The following is a 10,061-nucleotide window of genomic DNA, read 5'->3' on the forward strand; positions in this document are numbered from 1 at the left end:
GCTGGAGTGCAGTGGCGCGATCTCAGCTCACTGCAAGCTCCGCCTCCCAGGTTCACCCCATTCTCCTGCCTCAGCCTCCCAAGTAGCTGGGACTACAGGTGCCCGCCACCACGCCCGGCTAATTTTTTGTATTTTTAGTAGAGACGGGGTTTCACCGTGTTAGCCAGGATGGTCTCAATCTCCTGACCTCATGATCTGCCCGCCTTGGCCTCCCAAAGTGCTGGGATTACAGGCATAAGCCACCGCGCCTGGCCTGTTTTTCTGTCTTCTAAATGCAGTGTCTCCCTTAGCCTTCTGTTCTGGGGTGTGTCCACCTACAAACACTCCAAGCTTCACTGAACCGCACTCTCCACCCTCTCTGCTCTTTGGTAGCTGAGAATCACAGGATCAAAACAGGCAATGGCGAGTTGCTGTTGTGTGCAGTCAGGGATCATGGATGTAAATTTGTTTTCCCAGCATTAGTTGTCTGGTCCACTCGTTTTCCCCACCACCTGAGTCAATTTCACAACAATTCATTCCCTGGAGACATGCGCACCTACCTTGTTCTACTGGGTGCTTCACAAATAACTCCTACCCCTTCAAATAATATAAAATCATTTACTAGGAAAGCCCTAAATCTTCTATCAAGAAGCCAACTATGATCTGCACCAGTACACACTTCCTCCTGTAACAATAAAGAAAGCATGGCCGGGTGTGGTGGCTCATGACTGTCATCCCAGCACTATGGGAGGCTGAGGGGGGTGGATCACCTGAGGTCAAGAGTTCGAGACCAGTGTGCCAACATAGGAAAACCCCATCTCTACTAAAAATATAAAAGTTAGCCGGGCTTGGTGGCGTACGCCTGTAATCCCAGCTACTCAGGAGGCTGAGGCAGGAGAATCACTGGAACCTGGGAGGCGGAGGTTGCAGTGAACCGAGAACGTGCCACTGCACTCCAGCCTGGGCAACAGAGCGAGACTCTATTTCTAAAAAACAAAAGCATCCCTGCGGTAGTTAATTTAACCCATGTTAATCAGAGGTTAGTTTCCTCCACGATGGGAATCCCACAATCATCCGTGTGCAGCACCTTATACCATCACTGATTTACCTCTCCCTTGCCTCTATCCTCAGCCTCCCTACTGGATGTTTTGTCTTTATAAATGCTTAGATATTATTTTAGAAGCAAAATGAAAAATAAGCATTCAATCTTATCTCACCATCTCGCCATAGGTGGCTAAAACAACTTGAGCTGCATCTCATTAACTTTTTATTCTATCATAAGAATTCCAGCCGGGTGCGGTGGTGCACGCCTGTAATCCCAGCACTTTGGGAGGCTGAGGCCAGTGGATCACTTGAGGTCAGGAGTTCGAGACCAGACTGGCCAACATGATGAAACCCCGTCTATACTAAAAATACAAAAATTAGGCATGGTGGCAGGCGCTTGTAATCCCAGCTACTCAGGAGGCTGAGTCAGGAGAATCACTTGAACTGGGGAGGTGGAGGTCGCAGTGAGTCGAGCTCGTGCCACCACACCCCAGCCTCAGCGATAGAGCAAGACTCAGTCTGTGCATTTTGGATTTTTTCTTTTTCAATCTAGAATGATTAGGACATGTAAAACCTATATACCCACCACCTAATTTAAACAATCATTAGTATTTTAGTATATCTGGTGAACTATTTCAGAGCAGCTTACGGATTTTGACATCCACCCCAAAATAACCAGCGTGCTCCCTTCAAAATAGAACACGCCTATAAAATGCCATTATTATATTCAATGAGGTCCCTTGGCTTTCTGTTGCTCTTAAGATGAAATTCTAAACCCTTAGTATGACCTAGGTGCCCAGCCTCCGCTCTCACCACTGTCTGGGACTCTTTTCTAGCCATCTAGTCATCTTTGTTTCTCAAATGTGTCTCCTTTCCGCAAGCACAGTGTACAGGTGATTTTTTTATATCAATGCATATGTCAATATGTCCTTCCGCCTTCTCACCTTTCTTCAGGTGCAGTGTTGCTTTCTCTGCAGGTCTGTGTTCCTTGTTATGTTTCCTTGCTACAGGCACTCTCAGCCTTTCTTTCATTGTTTTCCACAACTATAATTTGAGTTACCCACCATCTCTCAAAGTGAGAACCAAGCACAGTAGCCTCACCTGGGAACTCGTTAGAAATGCAAATATTTGGCCGGGTGCAGTGGCTCATGCCTGTAATTCCAGCACTTTGGGAGGCTGAGGCAGGTGGATCATGTGAGGTCAGGAGTTCAAGACCAACCTGGCCAACATGATGAAACTCTGTTTCTACTAAAAATACAAAAAATTAGCCAGGCATGGTGGCACGTGCCCATAATCCCAGCTACTCCGGAGGCTAAGGCAGGAGTATCGCTTGAATCCCAGAGGTAGAAGGTTGCAGTGAGCCAAGATTGTGCTACTGCACTCCAGTCTGGGCAACAAGAGTGAAATGCTATCTCAAAAAAAAAAAAAAAAGGCGAATATTTGGGTCTTTCATCAGAACAACTAAACCAGAAACTGGGAGGCAGAGCCCACCAGTTTCATTTTTTGTTTGTTTTTGTTTTGTTTTGTTTTCCCAAAGAAAAAGTATCAAGGTGAAATTCATACGGGTTGAATGAAGGGTCCATCATCGATCTTTGGGGTTATTTTCTGGGTGTCCTGACCCTGCAGGTTGAAGGCATGTGGACTGACTTCTGATTGCTGTGAGGCACTCTCCTTGGCCCTTTCCTGCAACCGGCATCTGACCAGTCTAAACCTGGTGCAGAATAACTTCAGTCCCAAAGGAATGATGAAGCTGTGTTCGGCCTTTGCCTGTCCCACGTCTAACTTACAGATAATTGGGTAAGTCGCCAGCAATTGTCTTCTGAGATACAGACCTGCTTCTGTTCCAGGCTTGTTAGCTGGTGGAGAAGCAGTTTATGGGAAAAGTTGACGTCATACCTTGGGAGCCACATTTTACTCCATTGGTGAGTGCCCACTACGTTCTGAGTACCATGCTGGATGCTGGAGATACAGGAATATGGGAGATAGAGGCCAGGTGCCTGATATCATGGAGTTCACTTCTGGGTAGGTTGGGAAGGGCACAGAAAGAACGTTATAAATGTTTATGCTGAAAAAACTAGAATTGCTATATGATCCAGCAATCTTACTTCTGAGTATGTTACCCAAAAGAATTAAAAGGAAGATCTCAGATTTCACACCCATGTTCATAGTGGCATAATGCACAATAATAGCCAAGAGGTGGAAGTAACCCAGGCGCTCGTGGATGAAAGGATAAGCAGAATGTGGTGTATACCAACAATGGAATTGTATTCAGTCTCAAAAAGAAAATTCTGACACATGCTACATGATGGAATCTTGACATGCCGAGTGGAATAAGCCAGTCCTAAAAAGACAAATACTGTAGGATTCTACCTCGAAGAGGTACTTATAAGAGTGAAATTCATAGAGACAGAATGGTGATTTCCAAAGGATTGGGGTGAGGGGTTGGGGAGTTGTGTAATAGGTGCAGAGTTTTAGTTTTGCAAGATGAAGAATTCTGGCGATAGATGGTTGTGGTGATGCTTGCACAGCCGTGTGAATGTAGTTAACAGCACTGAACAATTCACCTAGCAGGAAGTTTCTTCAGTAGCTCACACACATCATTTCAGCTTCCCCTCTCATTCAGTCCTTGTACAAGTCTGGAGGGCTGAGTTGATGGAGTTCACAGAAGTTCTTCAGGACCATCTCTTAAGACTAGAAGTTTCTTTCATGACAAAGTGGCAGTTCACTGATGTCTTCAGTGTTTAGTGGTAGAAAAAGCATTTGTCATTTAGGAGCTCATATCCGTAGACTAACAGGAGTTCAGAGACTTCCCTGAGCATGAAGGAACACAGTTGTACTTGAAGGGAGTAAAATCTTGACCAGAGAAATGTACAGCTGGCAGCATTGATAGCCCATTTGAGGTTGGTTGTGGTATATTTATTTTATTTTAAGTTTTTTGAGATGGAGTCTCACTCTGTTGCCTCCAGGCTGGAGTGCAGGGGTGCAATCTTAGCTCACTGCAACCTCCGTCTCGCAGGTTCAAGCAATTCTGCTGCCTCAGCCTCCTGAGTGGCTGGGATTATAGGTACGTGCCACCACGCCCAGCTAATTTTTACATTTTTAGTAGAGAAGAGTTTTCACCAGGCTGGTCTCAAATTCCTGACCTCATATGATCCACCAGCTTCAGCCTCCCAAAGTGCTGGATGACAGGCATGAGCCACCACGCCCGACTTCCTTGTGGTATATTTATATCAATAGAAAATTTCTCAGTTGAGTAACTGTTTTCTCCAGTATGGTCCAGCTGATGGCAGTTGAGTTTATCCAGGGTTCAAGTTATGGCACATGGGTATAACCAGGAAGAAGTCAAGAGTGGCTGTGGTAGACCCTGGAATCATAGGAGGAAGGTGAAGACAGGATGAGGAAGGTGAATTGAGAAACATGGCTCAATGAATCTGGGAGTCTTGGTTTGGTCAGGACTGTTACAGTGACAAAATGAGCTGAAAAGGTGGAGTGCTGTTGAAAGAATGTGTTTATATCCTTGATTTATGAGGCACTATAGCCATTGACAAGATCAGTGGTGACTATGGGACTTAGTAGTTGAAGTAGGATAGAAGTCAGACCTGGATTTACTGATTGACCTATTATGGGTCTATTTCCCCATCTGTGAAATGGGGGCGGTGCTATGTATCTATTTAAATATGTTTATTTCTCCTCTAGTAGACTATAAGCTTGGTAAGGGTGGGAAATTTGCCTTGTCCATCCCTATATGAGAAGTCCTCATTTAATGTCATTGATACATTCTTAGAAACTGTGACTTTAAGCAAAACGACATATAATGAAACCAATGTTTTCTCGTTGTTATAGCAATGACTCTGAAGAAAATGACGTTCTTCGAGAATCTGCTCTAGTAGTTTTGCTTAAAGTCACTGTTTCCAAGAACCTATCAATGACATTAAGGGAGAACTTACTGTACCTCCCCAAACCCTATAACACGACCCGGCACAGAGACTCTGAGGAAGGAATTCATGGATGGACTGAAAGGTCATGCCTGCATCTTAGGACTGTTAGGACTGTTGTAAGGAACAGATGCCTTTAAAAGCTCAGCATAGTATCTGACATATCCAAGTTTTTTTACATGCAGAGAATTACTTTTATTCTATAGGGAACATGCTACTGTTATCAAGCAAAAGTGGCTCACTGCCTGATGTGCTAGAGGCCAATACTGTGACACTGGAGATTTGTCGGGGGAAAAAAGCCCTATATTGCAGGTCAACTCACAAGGAGACAGGAGTCAAGCTCAAATCTGTCTCCCCATGCTGGCTTCAAGGCAGCATTATTATTAGAAAAGGTTCAGGGAGTAGATCTTGAGATTAGTAGGTGATTGGAAGAAAAGAGGAGATCTAGAAAGTCACTGGGCATGCATAATTATCTATTCATGCTACATCATGGGTTGCATGTGCCAATTTAGGGAGAGTTAGTATAAAACATGGTGGAAATTCAGGCTGTGACATCAGCAAGCTCATTCTGTGCAAACTCCAGTCTGCCATACTTTTTCTAACCGATTTCAGCCAGTTCTTTCATAAGTGGAGGGGGAGTCTCCATGTTTCAGCAAGCTGTTTCTTTTCTTGTCTGCCATCCTACAAACTCAATAATTTGTTAGTCATTGGTTTAACTCTTTGGGGCACGTTCCTTAAGAGTACAAGAAAAGGTTTGAGATCCTTGATGAGGCTACCAGGAATTTTGAAGAAGGGAGAAGAGTCGAAAGCAACATCTCAGTAACGAGTCCTCTCTCTGCCTCCCCAGGCTGTGGAAATGGCAGTACCCTGTGCAAATAAGGAAGCTGCTGGAGGAAGTGCAGCTACTCAAGCCCCGAGTCGTAATTGACGGTAGTTGGCATTCTTTTGATGAAGATGACCGGTACTGGTGGAAAAACTGAAGATACGGAAACCTGCCCCACTCACACCCATCTGATGGAGGAACTTTAAACGCTGTTTTCTCAGAGCAAGCTATGCACCTGGGAGTTCCTTCTCAAAGATGGAGAATGATTTCTGATTCTCACAAAGCCCTCAATGGTAGTGATTCTTCTGTGTTCACTCTACGTTGGTTACTGGATTTGAAGGCTAGAGACCTTCAAGTCATAGGACTCAGTATCTGTGAAATGTCCGTCATATCTCAGAGCATATAGAGGGAATTAAATAAACACAAAGCATTTGGAAAAGTTGTCAAGTGGTTTTCTTAACTAGTGGGGATATGGTTTAGGAGCAGAGAGGTTGGGAGGACCTAGATCTTCAAAAGCAGCCCCTGAATTTGGGTACCACAACTAGTGGTGGTTTTTTGTTTTTTGTGTTTTTCTTTTTGTTTTTTGTTTTTTTTTTTTTTTTGAGATGGAGTCTTACTCTGTTGCCCAGGCTGGAGTGCAGTGGCACGATCTTGGCTCACTGCAACCCCTGCCTCCTGGGTTCACAGCATTCTCCTGCCTCAGCCTCCCAAGTAGCTGGGACCACAGGCACCCGCCACCACGCCCGGCTAACTTTTTGTACTTTTAGTAGAGACAGGGTTTCACCATGTTGGCCAGGATGGTCTCAATCTCTTGAGCTCGTGATCTGCCTGCCTCAGCCTCCCAAAGTGCTGGGATTACAGACGTGAGCCACTGCACCTGGCCAACTACTAGTTTTTTAAAGCACATACCTGAATACCAAAGGATGGTGTTACTGTCACTCAATATCTGAACTATAAACATAAAGCCGAATTTATTCCTTAGTGTAATGAAAAGCTGGTCTACCACAGTATCTCTGAGTAGAGCAGACTTCTGATCTTTGTGGGGAGGAATTTGGGGAGGTACAGAATGAGGCTAAACCTTGAAGGTGTAAGTTGGCCTGTGGTTACTCAGGTGAGGCTGATTGGTAGAGGTGTGTTCATCAGAGTGCATCCCTTCTGACTGGCTGAATTTCCAATGCAAAGGGCAGCTGTTGATTGGCTTGCAAAAGCATGTTCACTGAGGTAAGTTGTCTTGGATCCATTTAATGGATTTAAACCTGTCTAGGTAGCTACTTATTACCATGGCTACAGAACCATCAGTCTATTCCTAGAAGAGTGGAAAACTCTTACATTCTTACCAAAATATACTTCTTATGATTTCTTGTATTTATTTCTCTCATCCATGATGACGATGATGAATGATGATAATCTAACACAGCCCTGTATACCATGCCCTGTCCTAAGCAGTATGAATTAACTTATTTGGTCTTTACAACACCTTAGAGGTAAGTATATTTTTTGCTTCCATCTTACAGATGAGGACATTGAGGTGCAGAAAATAATGCACAGCAAGGCCGGGCGGGGCAGCTCACACCTGTAATCCCAGCACTTTGGGAGGCTGAGGCAGGCGGAACACTTGAGATCGGTGGTTCGAGACCAACCTGGCCAACATGGTGAAACCCCGTCTCTACTAAACATACAAAAATTAGCCCCGTGTGGTGGTTCATGCCTGTAATCCCAGCTACTCGGGAGGCTGAGGCAGGAGAATCACTCGAACCCGGGAGGCAGAGCTTGCAGTGTGCTGAGATCATGCCACTGCAATCCAGCCTGGGTGACAGAGCGAGACTCCATCTCAAAAAAAAGAATGCACAGCCAGTAAGTAGCAGAGCTGCCATTCAGACCCAGGAAATCCATTTCTGGAGTTCATTCTACTCATTGAAATGTTGCCTCTACCATACAACCACCTTCCACGAGCCATTCACTGTACTGTGTGTAAACCTCTAACTCCAGCAGCCCCTTTCAAACCGGGGGAATGTTCTAGCATCATTCCCTGTCAGCGTATATTAGACAGGGGCTGGCATGCCCCCTTTTCTGCTCCCATTGCAATGGAGCTAATAAAGTTTATATCAGATATAGGAGGAACGTCAACTCTGCAGTTTATTTGTGGTTATAGTATTAGCATTATCTTCAACCTATGGTTTCTTTGCAGGAATACTTTTTAAATACTTGTGTGTTCTGGGAGTGTTTGTTTATAAAATACTTGGACATTGGACCAATGTGATAGGGTTTACGAGGTGAATGGGTGAAGTAGTGGGGGAAAAGCCCTTCCGAATCAGAGTATCTGTCTTCAGGATACCTCTTCTCCCACATGGGACACAGGCCCATCTAACATAAAGACAGGGCAAGGAGGCCGGGTGCAGTGGCTCACGCCTGTAATCCCAGCACTTGGGGAGGCTGAGGTGGGCAGATCACGAGGTCAGGAGATTGAGACCATCCTGGCTAACACGGTGAAACCCCATCTCTACTAAAAATACAAAAAATTAGCCAGGCGTGGTGGTGGGTGCCTGTAGTCCCAACTACTTGGGAGGCTGAGGCAGGAGAATGGCGTGAACCCGGGAGACGGAGCTTGTAGTGAGCCAAGATCGTGCCACTGCACTCCAGCCTGCACAACAGAGCCAGACTCTGTCTCAAAAAAAAAGGGGGGGGGAGGGGGGCAAGGAAACCACCATTAATGTTTGTGTTAACAAAGCATTACTATGTTAGTCTTGTTAAAGATCTATCACCTTGTATATAGCTAAAAATACACAATGCCCTCCTGTGTCCAGTGCATTATCTTGAGCACTGCTGCCTACCCCACCCCCAACAGTTACAAATATCCCACTTTGTAAAGTTACAGCCAAAGGGAAGGTCAAAGGGAAAAGCCAAGTTTAGAAACAATATTTTTATTTTTTAGAAACATCTCATTATCTTGCCCAGGCTAGTCTTGAACTCTTGGGCTCAAGTGATCCTCCTGCCTCAGCCTCCCAAAGTTCTGCAATTACAGGTGTGAGCCACTGTGCCCAGCTTCAAGTTTTTTATGCTGACCTGTGTTCAAATTCTGGCTGTTTCGAATGATTTTTATGACACTATACAAATGTCAACCTCCATGGGCTTTTGATTTCTTATCTGTAAAGTAGGAAAAATTGTACTTACCCTATAGAATCAAGAAGAGATGAATCTCTGTAAATCAGCTGTAGAAGTGGCTGGAACATTCACTCCACCAATATTTACCTACTTGTATTAGTTGTTTGTTGCTGTTTACAACATTACCACAAACTCGGCAGTTAAAACACGTGATCTCGGTGTTTGAGTCCAGATATGACTCAGCTGGATCCTCTGTCTCAGGGTCTCACAAGGCTGCGATGAAGGTGTTGACCAGGGCTGTGGTCTCATCTGAGACCCAACCGGGACAAGGACCTCTTCCAAGTTCATGCAGGTCCCAGGAACATCCATTTTCAGGCTGCTGGACTGAGGGCCTTGGTTTCTTGACTGTCAGCCCCAGGCCATCCCCAGCTCTTTTCTGCTTGGCCGTCTCCATATGGCAGATTGGATCTTCAAAGCCAGCAAAACAGTCACTCAGCAAGACAGACTTACAATCTCATGGCATCACAGAAGTCAGATCCCATCAACCCTGCCACATTCCGTTTGGATAGAAGTAAGTCACAAGCCCCTCCCACACTTGAGGGAAGGGGATCTGGCAAGATGGGAACACCAGGATGAGGATCATGAAACCGCCTAGAATCTGATGCACTACTCCACACTGGCAGAAAGCTGTGTTCTACTCACTGCTGCCTGTTGGAAAAGAGTTTCTTTCTCTTGAGCCTCTTGGCCATTTCCAAGGGTAGAGGGAGTTACCCAGGTGCTACGGCTAGGAGGGAGGAACTGGACCTTCTAAGTGCTCTTCACAAGCCTCCTGTCTCCAGATGTGTACACACTTTCCTCTTTCATGCAGCAAGCTTTGCTGAGGGTGGGATGGGTGGGCGGAATACTGATTGTGGCGAAGTGCTAGGAGGCTGCAGATACAGACCACTTGCCTCAGAGTCTGTGTGTGTGTGTGGTGGCGGGCGGGGGGACGGGGGTTGGTGTTTTTTTTTTTTTTTTTTTTTTTTTTTTTTTTTGAGACAGTTTTGCTCTTGTCACCCAGGCTGGGTTGCAATGGTACAATCTAGGCTCGCTGCAACCTCCGCCTCCCGGGTTCAAGCAATTCTCATGCCTCAGCCTCCTGAGTAGTGGGGACTACAGGTACCCGCCACCACGCCTGG

The 10,061-nt window shown here is 45.5% G+C and overlaps 1 protein-coding gene across 1 annotated transcript in view; it reads left to right on the forward strand.

Annotated features, from left to right (window-relative positions):
• NLRP5 (NLR family pyrin domain containing 5) overlaps nucleotides 1-6,220 on the forward strand; it is a 75,036-nt gene extending 68,816 nt beyond the window's left edge. Inside the window, exons 14-15 of the mRNA NM_001433705.1 lie at nucleotides 2,650-2,820; nucleotides 5,806-6,220. Coding sequence (NP_001420634.1) covers nucleotides 2,650-2,820; nucleotides 5,806-5,938 — 304 coding nt within the window. The 3' untranslated portion in view covers nucleotides 5,939-6,220. The remainder of the gene's footprint in view (nucleotides 1-2,649; nucleotides 2,821-5,805) is intronic.

The sequence above is a fragment of the Homo sapiens genome, chromosome 19, assembly GCF_000001405.40.
Source record: "Homo sapiens chromosome 19, GRCh38.p14 Primary Assembly".
NCBI classification, from domain to species: domain Eukaryota; kingdom Metazoa; phylum Chordata; class Mammalia; order Primates; family Hominidae; genus Homo; species Homo sapiens.